The 19515-nt window shown below is 42.5% G+C and overlaps 1 protein-coding gene across 9 annotated transcripts in view, besides 1 other annotated feature; it reads right to left on the reverse strand.

Annotated features, from left to right (window-relative positions):
• Positions 1-2903, reverse strand: part of TMTC1 (transmembrane O-mannosyltransferase targeting cadherins 1) — a 283947-nt gene extending 281044 nt beyond the window's left edge. For 7 of the 9 annotated variants that reach the window (XM_017020005.2, XM_017020004.2, XM_017020003.2 and 4 more), the window contains exon 1: positions 1594-2086. In XM_017020005.2, coding sequence (XP_016875494.1) covers positions 1594-1895 — 302 coding nt within the window. In that variant the 5' untranslated portion in view covers positions 1896-2086. Of the gene's footprint in view, positions 1-1593; positions 2087-2451 lie in introns of those variants that run through there. The other 2 variants (NM_175861.3, XM_047429634.1) reach the window with 1 other exon arrangement.
• Positions 13590-14091: an enhancer, noted in NCBI's record as "NANOG hESC enhancer chr12:29948379-29948880 (GRCh37/hg19 assembly coordinates)". NCBI's record gives its function as "activates a minimal SCP1, AML or CMV promoter by ChIP-STARR-seq in naive H9 embryonic stem cells {active_cell/tissue: H9 hESC(naive)}" and the evidence as "EXISTENCE:reporter gene assay evidence [ECO:0000049][PMID:30033119]".

Here is a 19515-nt window from a genome sequence, read left to right on the forward strand (position 1 = left end):
AGAAAAAAGAAGAAAACCTTCTAGAAAGTCAAGAAGTGAAAACACCCTTCCCTACTCTCCAGCAAGTAGGCACAGGCATTTGACTCTGCCCTTTTTAATTGAAAAATACTCAGACCTGTGACCAGGATGGTCTCCATGGCTGTTACAAAGATAGCAAGCACATCTCATGCTGTGAACTTGCACATCCTAAATTAACCAACAACCCTGACTGTAATAATGAAAAAGCAGGTCAATCTAGAAGTGAAACATTTATATTTGTCCCAAGGAGATTTTAAGAAACATCTGGGAAACTGAATAGCGAGGTTAGCCAAGGTTATCTTTCAGTAGAAAACGAGAACAACTTTCTAAGAGAACAAATGTCTATAACACATTCTCTTCAAAGTCAAATATGTAATTTTCTCACTCTCCTTAAAAACATTAAACTTTCAGTGGAAGACGTAAGTCAAAAGCCCATGAATTGTTGCCGATTGCTATGGTTTCCTTTTCTGAGTCATCAGAGACACCTGTCAAGAGGCCTCAGCCTCTCATCCAGAGCAGGCTTTTCAAGCTGCCAACCCAGTCTCAAATAATCATTACCATAAACACGGGTTCCTATTACACCCGTTGCAAAAAGGCTTAAAACGCCGATAATAGCGCACCAATATTATTTCAACAGTTTTGACCGGCGCGTTAAAATGAACTTCAATGCTGAGCCACATTATAAAGGGTTGAGTCAAGCTCCTGATTGTGTAAGATAGCATTTCCCTTAAATGAGCACTTCTCTTCTTTCCTCAGAAGCTAGGCTTCTTTTCAAATTAAAGAAAATACTCCACCCCTCAAAAACCTGGCATATTCTCGGTTCCCTTTACGCTTATTCACACCAGAAACGCTGAATCATGACTCCGAGGTTGTAAAAGAAAAACTATTTCGGCTGGGGCCCCAGGGTCCCTGGAGAAGCCTAGGCTCTGCGTTACCTCTCTCTGCACCTTCTAAAGTCTAGATCCAGAGAAGTCTGGCAGATTGGAGAGCCTCTGGGAGCAGCCAAGGGTGCAAGGCGGGGGCTGGGGGGCTCGGGAGAGTTTTCTGCTCCCTCTCCTGAACCCACGCAGCCCTGTCAGCTCAAGGCTCCCGCCTCGTCTCATCTGAACGAAACCCTTAAGGGGCTGATACACTTCTCATCTGCAAAGCTGCCCAACAGCCTCCGAGAAATTCTCTACTTGGAAGCATCGCCACCACCGCCACCCCTCCGGAACCCTCTGGGTCCGCGCTAGTCCCACTTGGTCACGATCCGGCAGGCGAAGGGGTGCGGAGGCGGTTTCACCAGCCCGCTCCCAGCCCTGCCTCGAGAGAGAAGCCCGCTGAGAGGGCAGACAGTTGAGAAACTCGATCCCAACTCCCCAGCCGGCGCCTCCCGAACCGCCCCGAGAGCCCAGATTAGCCGGGCAGTGGATCCCGGAGCAAAGTGCCATGCACATCCTGGAGAGGAGGGAGGCGTGGAGGGAAAGGGCGGCAAAAATGAAATGCCCCCAAGTCAGTCCCGCAACTTCTCCCGGTCCGAGGGACGGGCGGAGGGTAGAGGAGGCAGCGGCGGCTAGCGCGAGGTGAGGGACTCACTTGAAGGTGAGGACGCAGAGCGGCCGGTAGGACTTGTGGCTGGTGTTCTCGGCCATGCCCTTGCCCCAGAAGTCGTTGGTGAAGATGCCCCAGCGGAGCGGGGCGCCGGGCCGCACGTCGGGGTTGTTCACGATCGCCCACACGTCGTCGTGCACGAACTCGCCCTGCAGGGAGCGGCCGTAGCACAGGCAGCTTGCCCCGGCCAGCAGCGCCGCGGCCCCGGCCGGCGCTAGCCCGCAGCCCCGCCGCCGGGAGGGTGTGCGGTCCCCGCCGCCGCCTCGGGCAGAGGTGGTCACCACCATCGCGCCGCCGCCGCCGCTGCTGCCCTGGCCTCTCCCGGGCGTCTGGCATCCTCCCCTACCGGGGCCCCGGCGGCGCGCGGCGTCTGCCCGGAGGGGGGCTCGGGCATGGTGCTGCGGCAGCTGGACCCGCCGCGAGCTCCCCGCGCTCCGCCGCCGCCTGCGCCGCGGAGTTGGCCCAGCTGCAAATAAACAGCAGTCCCCCCGCCTCCCCCGGCCATCGCCACCTCCTCCGCCCCACTGCGCATGCCCGCTCGCTCTCTCTTCCACCGCCCCCCAATCCCGGGACGCGGGCCGGTTCCCCCGCACAGCCCGGCGCCCTCTGCCCCCGGCCCGCCTTGCTTGCAGGTGGACCGGGGTTCGCGGCGCGCGGCTGCCCGGGAGCTGCGGGGAAGGACACCCCAGGTTCCCACTTGCGGTGTCCGGCTGTGCTCACCCCCACGCCCCCGCCCCCATCCTTCTCCCCCGAATGGGGCTGGGAAGGGGCACATCTGGCGGACCCCTCCCGGGGGACCCAGGAGGGTTTAGCAGGTGCGCAGTCTGGAACCCCCACACCCACCTTCCAGGGAGAAAAGTGCCGCTGCTTCCCGGGAAGTTCCCGGCTTTTCAGCACCCGGGACAACAGCAGCGGCGCCCGGAGAGACGCTCTCCACCCGCCCCGCGCTCGCGTCCAGTCGCCGGCTCTGTGCTCTCCTGCCCGGGCTTTCTCTCACCCGCCCGGCGCGGCGTCCCGCTTGGCGGAGGAACCCGCGGGGATAGGGAGCACCTTCCTCAAAGCCAGGAGAAGGGGTCTCCCTGGACAAGGACATCCTGCTCGCCCTGCCCGGGTGTGTTCAGAGGCGCCACCGGCTCTTTAACTTTACAGCCCCTTTCTTGGCCCGCACTTACAAAAAGTACCAGGTTCGAGTTTTGGTTTGGGCCTGGGAGCCGAATTGTCTTCTGAAACATTTCTTATTTTATTGTTTGCTCAAGATAATTTGGGAGATGCCAAGCAAACTACTTTTTCTATCTAGCTGGATCACTTGGGTCTCATTATTTCCTGGGCTGTGGGCGTGTTTGAACAGGGCGGGGAAGAAGGTGGGGATGGGGGGATGGGGAGGTGGGGGCGATTTGTATTAGGGCCTCTGGCTTTGGCTCCTAAACTTCCTGTCTTTCTGAAAGATTGTTTTCTTTTTTAAAATACTAATTTTAATAATATGTCCCAGAGTGATGATTACTAGAATTTCTCCAGGTCTGAAAATTCTATTTGTTCTTTCAGGCACCTTCTAAATTTCCATTGCTGAGTGTTAGAAGTTATCAGGAATTTGACACATCCAGATAGAAAAACTGAAAATAAAAAGTCACCCTTTTATTCTCATCCTCCCCAAACCCTTAAAAAGCTCACCGACATAATCCAGAAATTGTTCCTCTGCTATGAGTATTTGTGTGGCTCTTTACTATAACAACTTACTTTTTAAAAAATTTTAAGACATCTGAGCAGTTGAAAAGTCAATGAATTAAGATAAACTTATTGTAACTCAAAGTACGTTTCACCCATTTTCACTTTGTTTATTTGGTGACTTGAAATTAGTGACTGAGAAATGAAACTGGAAGTCCTGGACATGGATGTTTTCATTCTTCCATCAAAATCTTTCACGCTTGGTAACCTTAATATACCGACTTTAATATCTAGACACACCTGAGTCTATTTCCCCGTATAACACACTACAGCCTTTCCTATTCACCTATTAACTTAATAAAAATATATTAAGGAGATTCTTTGTGCTACAATGTGCTAAGTATAGGATTGGAAGACCCAAAGCTGCTCGTGTGTGTGCGTCTGTATGTGTGTGTGGTTAACACCATAAAAGTCTAGCTTTCTAAGTTAACAGCTGATTGGGATAGTGAAATTATCTTTGCTGAAATCATAGTTGAGGTAATAGGTCAATGTATCAATCCTTACCTATAATTAACGGAGGCTTTCTAGAGAGAACGTCTTAACCCAAAAGAGTGACTCTAGGCCAGGTGCAATGGCTCACACCCGCAATCCCAGCACTTTGGGAGGCCAAGGCAGGAGCGTTGCTTGAGGCCAGGAGTTCAAGACTGGCCTGGGCTACAGAGTGAGACCCTGCCTCAAAAAAGAAAAGAAAAGAGTGGCCTCTAATAGTAGATTTTTATAGAAAGAAAGTCTTTTTTCCTTCCTCAAATTATCCTTAAGTCATCCTTTTCCAAGGAAGAGCTCTGGCTACCCCCTTCTTCTCGGAGTTGTTTTCTTTTTTAGATGGAAACAGTATCAGAGTGCTCCATGACCATGGAGAGTAGTGCAGGACTTGGGACTGAGACTCCAAAGAGATCATAAAAAGAAGAGATAAAGGAAACCTGAAAGTAGGATTCCTGGTTACCTAATCTTTCCTCTAGGTTCAGTGGCATCTTTATTCTATTTTGCTCAGATGACAAATTTGAGATTGACTTAAAATAGTGAAATGCTTCAAGTCTTCTCAAGGACAACTGATCAGTGAATATTTTTAAAAATTAGTTCCTTCGGGCCTGGCATGGTGGCCCACCCCTGTAATCCCAGCACTTTGGGAGGCCTAGGTGGGCAGATCAGGTCAGGAGATCGAGACCATCCTGGTCAACATGGTGAAACCCTGTCTCTACTAAAAATACAAAAATAACCTAGGCGTGGTGGCACGCGCCTGTAGTCCCAGCTACTTGGGAGGCCAAGGCAGGAGAATGGCTTGAACCTGGGAGGTGGAGGTTGCAGTGAGCCAAGATCACGCCACTGCACTCCAGCCTGGGGACCGTGTGAGACTCTATCTCTAAAAATAATAATAATAATAATAATAATAATAATAATAATTAGTTTCTTTGCAGCCTCATCACCTCCTGATTCAATACTGCTCTGTGTGGTAGGAAAAGTATAGAAGTACTGATGTCAGAGAGAGGTTTACATTGATATGCCAGCCCATCAAGCCATTTGCTTCTCTCTTAAAGTGGAAAACATCCATCTTGACTAATAAAGGGGCCCAAAAGGAAGTTAGATTTAATTCTTGTTACTTAGCCTCTAATTATTTTTAAAGGATTGATAATTAGCGCAATACTACCTCCTGAAACGCCTTGTGTCCACTCAAAAGCAATTTATAATAAAACATGAATTATTGTAGAAGTACCTCTCTGAGGCTCATATAGATTAAGTCACTCATGCAAATTAAGATGGACCATATTTCTGAAAGAGATTAGGACACAACTAAAAATAAATCAAGGGCAAGCTATTGTAATAAAACCAATTTCAAATTACTGCTAACAACAATTCTTTGCTTGACCAAACTTTAGTTAGTCTTCTGAAACTTCCTAGCACCATCATTGTACTTCCTTGTAAAATCCAGTTTTAGCAAAGAACACTACTAAGTCAGTTTGGCAAGAGAGTGATCAGATATCAAGGGTAGGGGGTTCTTGCTGTATTTGAAGTTGAGTCCAGTCTGTCTTCCCCACTGAAGGACCGCATTGCAGTGGTCCCTATAACTATCATGATGGTCCTGAATAAATTCTACCATGCTTTAACAAGTATTGTTGAATAATCTTTTTATTTTAACACTGCTCCCTGTGCTTTTTTTCAGCCTAATGATGTCCTTTATTCAAATATAACCTATATAAATGGCCAAATGCAATATTACAAAGGTGATAATATCGTTTACAAAAGAAATGATACTATAGTTTACATTAAAACATAAATTTTTGTTGTCTAGTTGTTTAAATATTACTGCTCTTGAAGAAAATACAGAAAAGTAGAAAGAAGAACAAAAAAATTTAAATTACCCCCCAACCCATGGGCCTGTGGTACAGCAGGCAACATGTGCTCTAAGAAGCTGGCCCAACACCTGACAGGGCAGGTGTCGGACAGCCTGGGGCTGTGCCCAGACCTGGGCCCAGACTGGTGGCAGCAGAAGCAACAGTGGCAGCCCGGCTGCAGCCCCAGGAGGAAAAAGGGGATCTCCCTGGAGGTAAACTGTCTTTCCTTCCATCCCTAAAGTGTCTCTCTGTGGCATCTGCACGGTAATAAAATTTAAGAGTATCAAAAATTATTTGTGACCTTGCATTTTCTGGCACTCAGGCAATAAACTTTGTCAGTATATTACTACAAGATAAAAGTATACATAGGTACATTGCAATACAAAATATTGCAGGAGAGGAACACTGTCTTTTCTTCCTACCTTTGTTGGTTCCTGGCTGGATCTCTGTAACAAAAGACAGATCAAGAGAAATGCATACAAATTCGTTTAGTATAAGTTTTTCGTGACACAGGAGACTTCATAAGGAATTGAAGACCCGAAGAAGTAGTTAAACCTGATTGTTTTCAAAGTATGTTTGCTGAAGAATAAAGAAACATAGAAAAATATGATAGGATAAAAATGGGTATGAACTAAGAGTTGTAAACTGGGGGAACCTTAGCAAGGCCTGTTTGTTCATATTTATCTGGGAATCACTGCAGCTTTGGAAATAAGGACAATCTCCTTGGAAGATAGGAGGGGCACCTCTCACATGAAGGTCTTATGACCTGCTTCATAGGAAGATCAGAAAGTCCTTCCTGCACCTGCCATTTCTTGAATTCCTTTGGCTTAAAATATTCACTAAGTCAAAGGTGTCATATTTTGGGGCAGCATGTCCTGAACCACATCAATATCAAGGATTTACCAGAATTCTTCAAAGAGTGGAATCTCTGGCTTTGAAAACTGCTGCAACATTGCAAACCTAATATCCATAGTCTTAGAAATTATTGTGTATAATAGAAAAGAACACTATTTTCATCTGAATGTAATTTTAATAACATACATGTTATTTTACATTTGAATACATAAATCAAAAAGCTACTTTTAGTGTTTTATACAACCTCTACAACTTATAGGAAATGTCAGAGGAAGCACTAAAATGCCATTGTATAAATTTACATTTTAAATTAAAGTCAGACTTATACCAAAGACATTTGAATGAAGAGTTAATCTTTGTGTGTGTGCGTGTGTGTGTGAGATGAAGTCTCGCTCTGTCGCCCTGGCTGGAGTGCAATGGCGCAATCTCAGCTCACAGCAACCTCCGCCTCCCAGGTTCTAGTGATTCTTCTGCCTCAGCTTCCCAAGTAGCTGGGATTACAGGCGCCCACCACCACGCCCAGCTAATTTTTGATTTTAGTAGAGACGGGGTTTCACCATGTTGGTCTTGAACTCCTGACCTCAGGTGATCCACCCGCCTCGGCCTCCCAAAGTGCTGTGATTACCAGCGTGAGCCACTGCACCCGGCCCGAAGGGTTAAATATTTTAAGAAAATCATTCCATTTGAATCAAGAGCTCTAGATGTACTTTATATTTCAAAATAAAGTATCAGACATTTATTCCAATGTTGTCATAGCCTATAAAATACTCTAACTGCTCTAGTCACAGTTGAATGAGCAGAGAGATGTTTCTCCAATTCAAAGAATATTTTATTTTAAATCCCGATTCATAGCATTTGCTGATTTCCATGGTGAAAATATTTTCACCATGTTTGATTTCATGCAACCAATGTGACCTCACTGAACACAGAGATGGAAAGAGATATATAGTAGAACGTTATTCTACAGCATTTTTACCAAACAGATACAGCAGGTATAAATAAGACCAAGAGTATATTAACGGTGAAATAATTAAAACATGATGAGTTTTGAGCATTTATTATACTCATTCAAATCTAATTTGTAGAAATGGTTTATATAATTTAATTTTGTATAAAATTGTGTTTAACAACTGGCTTGCAAAATTCCTAAGAATGTAAGAATTAATTTTTGTGAATCAGTGTGAGTTCACTCCAGCACATTATCAAATGAAATATGCTTGGTCATTATTTGTATTATAATTTTGAATTTGAGTGATAAGTAATGGGAGGTGTGCTCATTATATTTATGCAGTAAAGAACCTTAGTGAAATAAAGGTCCAACCTTTGCCTCAGCAATTGGAAGATCACCTCTAGGCCCCCTGCCTAGAATGTCCTACCTCATAGGCATGTGTGTTTTCCTAGAAGTTTGGGCCACTGGACAGTCTAATGCTATGGTTTATGGTGGGAGTCTTGAGCCACACAGCATTAGTTCTGACTTCTGGGGAACTGGAGACTAAAGGTAGGAAGAGGAACAGAATATGTCTCCCCAAAACATGCCAGTTTGGCATCAGGATTGTTTTGAGGTGAAGGCAATTAACTCTCGGTGCCCCCATTTTCTGTCTAAAAGCAGGCCGTGAATTTCCATTTTTAAAGGTATCTCCTCTCATGCTCGAAAAAGAACTACTCCAGAGACAACTCTTAGCACTGGACAGGATGCTTATCTGTGTAGCAAACATACTAAACAACCCTTATTTACCATACATTTCCTCTCCTCACTCCCCATGCTGCCCTCACCTCCCTGCCCTCACATTCTCCCTATGCTCCAGAAGTGAATCCCTTTTCCTTTGTCTAGCCTAAGATGATATATACGCCCTCAATTCTAACTGCCTCCTTGAGTAACGATTCTTTGGGAACTTTCATGCACGTATATGTAATTAAATCGGTTTTGCCAGCTGGGCGCGGTGGCTCATGCCTATAATCCCAACACTATGGTCAGGAGTTCAAGACCAGCCTGGCCAACATGGAGAAACCCTGTCTGTACTAAAAATAGAAAAATTAGCCAGGAGTGGTGGTGGATGCCTGTAATCCCAGCTGCAACTCAGAAGGCTAAGGCAGGAGAATTACTTGAACCTGGGAGGTGGAGATTGCAGTGAGCCGAGATCACACCACTGCAATCCAGACTGGGTGACAGAGCAAGACTCCATCTCAATAAATAAATAAATATGTTTATTGTAGCACTATTTACAAAGACTTGGAACCAACCCAAATGCTCATCAATGTTAGACTGGATATAGAAAATGTGGCACATATACACCATGGAATGCTATGCAGTCATAAAAAAGAATGAGTTCATGTCTTTTTCAGGGACATGGATGAAGCTGGAAACCATCAATGTCAGCAAACTAACACAGGAACAGAAAGCCAAACACCGCATGTTCTCACTCATAAGTGGGAGTTGAACAATGAGAACACATGGACACAGGGAGGGGAACATAACACACCAGGGCCTGTCAGGGGGTGGGGGCAAGGGAAGAGATAGCTTTAGGACAAATACCTAATGCATGTGTTGCTTAAAACCGAGGTGATGAGTTGATGAGTGCAGCAAATCAACATGGCACATATATACAACAAGCATACAACATGTGCACAACATGTATGCATGCATACCGCATACATGCTACATGTATACCACACACGTTACATGCACACTACATGTATACATCAATCATATATAATGCACGTAGGCTATATGTGCAGAAATTCCATACTACATGCATACAACATGTGCTCAACATGCATGCTACATATATACATTCACACTACATGCATACATGCGCAAAACAGGCATGCTGCATGCAGACATGTGTACAACACGTGTACAACATGCATGCTACATGCACACAGCATGCATGCTACATGCTTAATGCATGCATAGCACATGGGAACAACATCCATACTACATGTCTACATTCGTAAAACATTCAGGATGCATGTGTAAACATATATTCAACATGCACACAACATGCGCCCAAAATATATGCATGCTGCATGCATACTACATGAAACATGCACACTACGTGTATACATCATGCATTCATGCTACATGCATGCTACATGTGCACATGCTTTCAACATACATGCTACATGAGCACCACATTCACACTACATCCGTACAAGTGTGCAGCATGCACACAACATACATGCTATATGCGTAAAGCATGATTGCTGCATGCATACAACATGCAACTACATGTGCATAACATAAATAATGCATGCACACAACATGCGTACAGAGAGCATGCATACTACATGAACACAACATGCAAAACATGCGCACAACATGCCTAATGCATGCATGCCACATGTGCACAACATGCATGCTACACGTGTACAACATATGTGCAACATTCATGCTACATGCGCACAACATATTCAACATGCACACAACATGCGCACAACTTGTATGCATGAATATTGCATGCAGGCTACATGTATACTACACACGATACATGTGTGTTACCAGCATACATCATGCATGCAACTATATGAATGCTGCATGCATATAGCATCCATAGTACATGCATGCAAAATGTGTCAAACATAAGTCCTACATGTGAAAAACATGCTACAATATGCGTGCAAAATGCATACTGCATGCATATAACATGGGCATAACACCCATACCTCATGCTTAGAACATGCATGATACATGCACAGAACGTGTGTACATTTGCTACATGCACAGAACACATGTACAACATGCTACATGTGAACAACACGTGCACAGCCTGCATACCACACACGTACATGCTTACAACATAACAGTATGCCCACTGCATGCGTAAAGCATATATGCCCATGTGTGCAACATGAAAACTACATGATACAATATGCACACAACATCCCTGCTGGTGCAAAACGTGCGTACAACACACTACATGCATAGAACTGGCATGCTACATGTGCACAACATGCAAGCCACATGCATACAAGCAAGCCACATGTGCAAAACATGCGAACATGTGTACAGCATACAATCCTGATGCATAGAACATGCATACGTGTGTACAGCATGTGTTAAACATTCATGCTACATGCATACATCATGCGAGCAGCATGTGCGCATTTTCACAGCACACATAGAACATGCTGCAACACGCGTGAAGCATGCATGCAGCATGCACACTACATGATGCAAGTAGGGCACAATGGGTATGGTACAAGTCGTGGCCTGTGTAGAGCATGCAAACCACATGCCACAACATGTAAGTCACATATGCACAACATAGAGCTCTATTCTACACGCTTGCTGCATGCTACAACATGCAAGCTACATGCCTGCTGCATGCTTAGAACATGCATTCTACATTCTTTGGAGCATGCATGCTACACACATAGAACATGCCCACTGGATTTTGTGAAATGTGCAGTACATGCTACAACATGCAACCTACATGCGTGCAGCATGCACACTACAGCCTTATAACATGCTTACTGCATGATGCAGCATGTAAGCTACATGCATGGCACACGTTGCCACATGTGTAGGGCCTGTATTGTACATGCATTGAGCTTACATGCTACACATGTAGTACATGTGTACTTCACGCCACATGCAAGCTGCATGCTCGCAACATGCCACAACATGCGAGCCACATGCCTGCAACATGCCACAACATACAACCTATATGCTTGTAACATGTGCACTGCATACTACATGAAAGCCACATGTTGAAACATGTGTGAAGCATGCATGCATGCAACACAGACATTACACGCTGTAACATGTGTATAACATGCGTGCAGCATGCATATTATGTGCTGCGACATCCGCATGGCATATGTGCCACATTAATAATAAATGCACACTGCATGCCACAACAACTAAGCTATATTTTTGTAACTTGCACACTACATGCTACAGCATGCAAGCTACATGCATACATTCTTGTAGCATGGATGTAACGTGTGCTGCATGCCACATGTGTACTACATGCTTTTAACATGCACACTACTTGCTAAAACATGCACGCTACATGCATGTGACACACATGCCACATGTGTAGAACATGTTTTCTGCATGTGTGTGGCCTGCATGCTGCACAAGGAGAACATGGGTGTGGCATGCCACAACAGGCAAGCTACATGATTGCAATATGTGCACTATATGTCACATGGAACCTACATGCTTTTAACATGCTTGCTGCATACTGCAACATGCAAGCTACATGTGTGAAACATGCATGCAGCATGCACAATACACACTGCAACATGTGCACTTTGAAACATGTGTGCTGCATGTCCCAACATACATGTAGCGACATGTGTACAGCATGTTTGCTGAATTCGTGATATGTGCGCACTACATGGCACATGTAAGCTACATGCTTGTAACGTGTGCACTACATGCTACACTATGCAAGCATCATGTGTGCAACATGTGTACTACATTCTTGCAACATGTGCATTGCATGCTACAATATGCAGTCTACATGTATGCTACATGCTTACTATAGTTGCAACAAGCATGCTACACACTACAACATGCATGGCACATGCATTGGACATTTATTCTACATGCAAGCTACATGCATACAGCATTCATGCTACACACATTCAGTATGCATTCAACATGCACACTACTTGCGCATAACATGCATGCAACATGCTACGTACATGCCACTTTCTGTGAGGTGTGTGCAACATTCATACAACATGCATACTACAGGCATACAGTATGTGTTCATGAGTAGGCATGCAGACAATATGCATACCACGGTTGTACATCATGCACGTGACTTGCCAGAACATGCATGCTGCATGCATGCAACATGTGTGCAACATTCATGAGCATGCATACTACATGTTACCACATGCATACCACATGCACGCTACACACGCTCAGCCACCCCTCAAGAAGAATACAAGAAGAGCAATAGGTACCTTTAAAAATGTTATGTTAAGCTCTCTTTTTTCTTCTATTTAAAGTTTCAAGAAAAGGCTCCAAGAGCAAACAAATAAAACCAAAAAACATGTAAGTAAGTAGCAAGCCCTCAAAAACCTAGAGCCACTGCAGGAGAACTGCTGGGGAGTTAACATCAAGAACTCACACGTAATTGCTAGTTTGTAGATGACGAAGCTCAATACTGATGGCTGTTTTAGAAAAGAGAACAAATAATGAGGAAAATGTAAAATTCTGGTTAGTCTATATAAAATATTTATTACAGTCATCAGTATTAAGTGTTTTCTCTGCCATATTGTACAGTAATACTTTGTTTTAATGTGTTCTATTTAATGGGTCATACTTACTTGCATTGTATTGAATTACAAAAATGATTTTGTTGAGGAATTCACCACCTCACTGATGGTGTTGAGGTCCACTGTGCCCCAACCCCAATTCTTAGCAGGTTTAGCTACATAAATTGTAGGGCCCAATGTAAAATGAAAATGAAGGACCCTTTGTTCTAAAGTTATTAAGAATTTCAGGATGGTGACAGTGGCACATCAAACCAAAAGTGAAGTCCTTCTATACACTGAGTTCATCTAAGTACAGGGTTCTGTATGACTACAAAAGTTGCACACCCATGAAGCCAGGCCTGTTTTGACAGGCAATCCTATTCATATAATTCTCTCCAGCTAGTTTAAATACTCCTGGCAAACAATGGCCTTGGGGCAGCCAAAATTAATGGGCTCAGGGCACCCAGGACCTAATAAAATACTTGCCATAAGTCAATGACATGGCTTGCATCTTATGTTATTAAAGAAGTTGGGAAATCTACCATGCTAGTTTTTCTTTGCCAAGAAATAAAGATTATATCTAGAGACAGATAATTTCCCTTGAGAAATTACAATCTCCCATCTTTCCTAGCTGTGCTGCTAAGTCTTATTTCTTGGACTATTTTTCCATGTGTGAGTTAATGTAAAGGAATACGAATGAATCTTTTCAGGCTCCGCAGTACCTTACAAAAAAATTCTTCTAAAATGTCTTTTAGATTTTCTTTTTGGCCATGTTACTGTAAATGAGGCAGCCAGGTTTTTGTTGTAGCCATTGTTGTTTTTAAATAATTTTAAGTTTTTGCACATCTTGGCTAAGAGCTGAATATTGTGGTCTTTCCAGTTAGACAGAAGACAAAGTAGAAGCAGATTCTGGCTTCACAGTTTCTTTCACATCCTCTGTCTCTTTCATCTCACATTTGCTCAGTGATTTCATTCTTTCTCCATTATGTAGTTTAAGAGATTAGGAATCCATTTTATTCATCTGACAACTTTTTTTTCAGACAATTAGCATTACACCTACTTCTAAGAAAAGGAGTTACCTGACAATGCTGTCATTGCTACCTACTTGTATTTACGGAAACATTCAAATGTTAATCTGTTCCCTTCACACTTGGCCCAAAATTCAGATAACAGCTCCCAAAAGGTGCTATCAGGAGTGACAGTGATAGCAAACCCATACAACATGCCATAAACCCGCTTACTCTCTGTGCACATAAAAAACATGACTAACCAATTGTGATAGTTTTGCACATTAACTCCAGATGCAACCTTAAAACCGCTCTCAACACTGCCTCCCAGACTGCCACTCTCTGTTAATAGGTTGGCCTGTGAGTGGAAACCCCTTTACAGTCCCTGAGCCAGTGGAAGATGGCTGCAAGGAGGCACGGGTCCTAAAACATAATAATGCATCTTCCACATAAATGAAAGTCTAGCACTTACAAAGTGTTTCCATAGCTTTAGATTTTATCACTTCCATTTGAATAAATGTATTACCAATAAATTTTTAAGGAGGACTAAGAAGATTACATCTTTTGTACTTTGAGATTCTTTTAAGGAAGTTTCTATAAGAATTTTTACTATTCTGCAAATATAGTACCAGATAATTGAAAATTACCATACAAGGCTTATATGGCCATATTAGAGTATTTCTATGAATACTGATGCCTAAAAGTGTGAGAAATCCATGAAAAATATGCCTGAGAGCCATTTTAAACAAATATAGGCAAAAATAAGGGCCCCGATAATTAATATAGTTTTAGCTATAATTTATCACCACTAAACCCAATATTAGGGGTTTTGTGTGTTATATTTGCCTCCAAATTGAAAATAAATTGTTTATGGATAGGAAGATTTCATTGAATCTGTGTTTCCTAACATTAGCAGAATTTTGATTCTCCAACTATTCACACCAGTTCCTGAATGAATTATTTTACTTTACATGGTTTCTGGTCAAGATATGTACAGAGAATTGGGCCTTTCACTCCCAATCATTGCTAGACTGGGTTCCAGTTTTCTAAACTGTGAACAAACCCCAGAGGGCAGTTGTGAAGATTAAAAGAGGTAAGTCAAGAGCTTTGAAGAGTGCCATAGCAAGGTGTGCTCAACACGTTAGCTAAGATAAAATATTGTGATGGTGATGATGAAGATTTTTCTCTCTTTTTTCCCTTAGCAATTTTCTCACTACTGCCATTTCTCGCCATTGTAGTAACATGGAATAACTACTACTAAGCGACTATTAAATATCTGCTTTTCAATTCCTGACTACTGATTGATTTATTGATTTACTTTGAAGGAGAATGTGGTTATCAGCCTAACCTGCATTTACTCTGGACAACCACAGTTTATTTTACTCACGATTGCCTCATTGCAGTTGCAGGATTGAGACTATAAACCTTCTCAATTCCTGGTGCCAGAGAATGCGTAAGGAATTCTGGCCAATGAGTCACACAGCTGCTCTGTTGTTTCTAATTTGGCTGCCAGGATCAAGTTGCTTCTCAAAGAAACTTTAATAACTTTTCTTTCCAAAACGTTAATCTTCATCATCTCATGGCTTAAGTGTTTAATGATTACTTCATAAACAATTTTCATACTTCCCCACGGTTACTCGCAAAGTTATCCAGCTATTTTATGTTTATCCCCTTTTTCAATCTGCTTAACATTTAAAAAAAAATTGTGAAGCTGAGCGTATGGTGAAAACGAACTAGCAAAAAACTAGGAAGCTGTAATAAAGACATATTTTTCCAAAGATAGCCTTTTTCTAGGATTTTCAAGGGAATCTGTTTTTTTTTTTTCCTTTAAAGTTGCAAGGTTGAAGATAAATCTCTTTTGCTCCATTTGTAGTAAGTCACTAAGGTAGGTGATAGTGAAATGTTGTCTTTGTAGTACTAACTCTGGAGAAAATAGGAAGGTTCTGGGCACAGAACGAGTGAGAGGGACTTTTCCTCCCTGTCATGGGGAGACTAGGTCATTCCAATTAACCTTCCCTCTAAAGATCCATAGAAAACCAGATTAAACAACAACACTATTTGCCTCATAACATCAGATCATTAAGAACAGAGAAGTGTCAGGCCAGGGAAAGAGAAAGGACAAGCCCAGAATTTGGGGCCCCTTCTGTGCTGGGGAGGAGTGAGAGGCTAAGCAGAGAACACTGAGAGTCTCCAAGGAGAGCAGGGCCCACAGGGTGTGGGGACCCTGGTAATCCATCCTGTACATAGGAGTGGGGCCCTGAAGAATGGCATTAGAAGTGAAGAGGGATTAGAAGTTGGTCACCACTCCCACCAATTGCAACTCAGCTTCTAGGGATCTTGACCATCTTAACAAATGTGAAAGAAACACTTTTAGTAAAAAAAATGGAAAGAGTTTATCACCAGAAGACCGGTACTAAAGGAAATTGTAAAAGTGGTCTTCCAATAGAATGAAAAGGATTTGTGATGAAAGGCACAGCAATGGAGGAAGTAATAGAATGCAACGTAAGTGGTAAATATGGTAATATATGATTAAATCTAGTGGGAAATTCCCTGCTTGCAAATCTGTAGTGACAGAAAGTAAATTACCAGTTCCCAGGGGCTAGGCAGGAGAGAGGCTGGTGACTGTTAAAAAGCAAAGGATTTCTTTTCAGAGTGATGGAAGTGTTTTAAAATTAGATTGTGGTGATATTTGCACAATGCTATGAGAACACTAAAATCCATTGACTTGTACACTTTAAAAGGATGCATTTTATGGCATGTAAATCATCTTTTGATGAAGTATTTTTAGAAAAAGAGCAAGATTTAGGACAACAGTAGTATGTAAATTAAAAGAAGACACGTAGGCTTGAGGTGTTCTGAGATCATTGAATTGTCTGGAAAAAGGAAAAAATGTAGAATTTGTCATCATGCTATACAATTATGTTTTATGCACATCGTACAGGTGTGGCATTTCACACACACACGTAAGTTTTTGAAAAAGAATGAGAGGCAACTAAGCCAAAAGGGCCGATTACTAGCAACTACTCCATTTTCCTAGCCAATTCCTTCTTAACGAACCCATAATAGAACAATGATGAAGTTTTTAAGTAGACAGACAGTGGAAAGGTGATACTTTTCTCTAATGTTTTCTTCCTACACTGGAATATGTAAGGCAGTAGAAATAAAGAATATGAATACACTTAGTAAAGACAATGAATACAAATCACCTTAAAGAATGAAAATATAAAGTTTGAAATAATACAACTGACTTACAGTCGGAAAGCTATGACCTCACAAGTATTTTTCTGCTTTATAAATGCCAACTGTTGTAAACCACTTTCCCAGTGCTTACACTACCGAAAGTAGGATCCACACTCTGCTGTCTACCCCCAAACTGACCAGAATGTCTACACACAGTAAGAAATCAGACACTTGTTCACTGGTGGAATGAATATATGTTTGTATGTATTCACAAACGGATAGAAGACAGGATTTCTAGAAGTTGGATGTTTCAAATTTCCTGGAGGCAAGAGAAAAAATTCATTTTTTCTCTTTTTCTATTAAAATGTGTATTACAATTATCTTCCAAGCTTACAAAAATATAAAGTAACACATCTATAGAATTTTATAGATTTCTGGGTGAAATGGAATAAATTCACACCCTGGAGGATGTAAGGGTTATCATTAGATATAGAGTTTACTTTCTACTTTGTTCCTTCTACTGAGTGATGATAATCCTGACTTCTGATTTAGAACCATTGACACTGGTTTTCCTTTTGGAAGACATCTCCCGGGTCAGTACTCTTCCTCCAGATAGACTCATCTAAAACTACTGCAAATCTTCTAAAACCTTCTCAATTTCTTAAAGACAGTTCTCAATTTCTTACTCTAAAGTTTCTCTTTCCTAAGTTTGTCTTTTATCCAACACTAATGAATAGCTATAATTTAAGATCATTTCTCTTTACTCTTCAGGTGTAAATAGAGAACAATTCCTTATAGAAATTTTTTTTTGTTTTGCTAACTATTGTTAAATTGTTACCTTTTCATATCACAGTGTTTCTTTAATGTCAAAATGAGCTTGGCTCTTCTAAAATTCAATTTACCAAGCTGTCTGCCCAGATTCCATTTGAGGAGTTTAACTGAACTCTGTGGAGGCTTTACAGTATCTCAATTACATCTCAGAAGAAATTAGCTCAGAAAATGCCAGCTCTGCCCCACAGGGCTTGGCAAAAACAGAGTAATGGCCTGGCTATGTCAGTGATGAGAACTGCAGCAGAGAGAGGAATAGAGGAATTAAGACAAAGAATGGATCAGCAGCCAGAGTTCAAGGGGGGAAAATGCTGGTGGTCATTCAAATACAAAAGAAAATCAGTCTGGAATGAAACAGTCTTGGAACAGAAGCAGATTTGGGTGTTTGTGGAGATAAACAAGAGCAGAGGGAACTGTAATACTTACCCCTAGGACAAAACTCACCTTCTGGGGGCTGTGGTGAGGCCAGCCTTCAGTGACCCACCAGCTCTGTGCAAGGAGGCTCTAGTGCTCACACATCTTAGATGCCCAGCGGCTTCTGGCAAGCAACAAGACACAGCTCAGAGGCGGATGGGGAAATTGTTCTAAACAAGGAGGTCTGCACCAGAAATAAGAGTCCTAAAAGTGAGATTTCATCCCACTGAGGAATTTGGAATCAGATAGTTGGTCTTAAAAAAAATAAGCAGAAAGACCTAATGTTATAACTCTTGAGAAGTGAATAGGAAAGAAATATCAGCATGATATCATCCATGGAAAACTGGCCTCAGCTAATGATGAAAGAGGGGTTCAGAAAAACACAGTAATAGTTCATTAGAAAAAAGAGTTCATTAAAGTATTTTTCCATATTTTAATATGGCTTTATTTATTATAGTATGAAATGTGATTTAATGTTATTTAAAAGACTATTTGATATAGAGGCAGAAGGATTGCTTGAGTCCAGTAGTTTAAGACCAGCTGGGGAACATGGTGAGACCCTGTCTCTATAAAAAATACAAAAATCAGCCGGGAAGGGTGGCTTATGCCTGTAATCCCAGCACTTTGGGAGGCCGAGGCAGGTGGATCACAAGGTCAGGAGATTGAGACCATCCTGGCTAACATGGTGAAAACCCATCTCTACTAAAAATACAAAAAATTAGCTGGGTGTGGTGGCAGGCACCTGTAGTCCCAGCTACTCAGGAGGCTGAGGCAGGAGAATGGTGTGAACCCGGGAGGCGGAGCTTGCAGTGAGCCGAGATCGTGCCACTGCACTCCAGCCTGGGAGACAGTGAGACTCTGTCTCAAAAAAAAAAAAAAAAAAAATCAACCAGGGCCAAGCACTGTGGCTCGCACCTGTAATCTCAGGACTTTGGGAGGCTGAGGTGGGAGGATTACTTGAGTTCAGGAGTTCGAGTTTGAGACTAGCCTAGGCAACATAGTGAGACCTCATCTGTACAGAAAATAAACAAAATTAGCTGGCCATGGTGGCATGTGCCTTTAGTCCCAGCTACTTGAGAGGCTGAGGTGGGAGGATGGCTTGAGCCCAGGAGTTTGATGCTGCTGTGAGCTATGATTATGCCACTACACCCCAGTCTAGACAATACAGCAAGACCCTATCTCTAAGACAACCAAAACAACAGTAAAACAACACAAACCTTATTCAATGTAAATAATATTGATATTGTATATTCCTGGAGCCAAGATCTAAAAGGGTCACATCCAGAGGTGATATTCATAATTCCATGTCTAATGACTCTTGCCATGGGCAACGATCAACACTGACCAATCAGAAA

Source organism: Homo sapiens, chromosome 12 (assembly GCF_000001405.40).
Source record: "Homo sapiens chromosome 12, GRCh38.p14 Primary Assembly".
Lineage (NCBI taxonomy): Eukaryota > Metazoa > Chordata > Mammalia > Primates > Hominidae > Homo > Homo sapiens.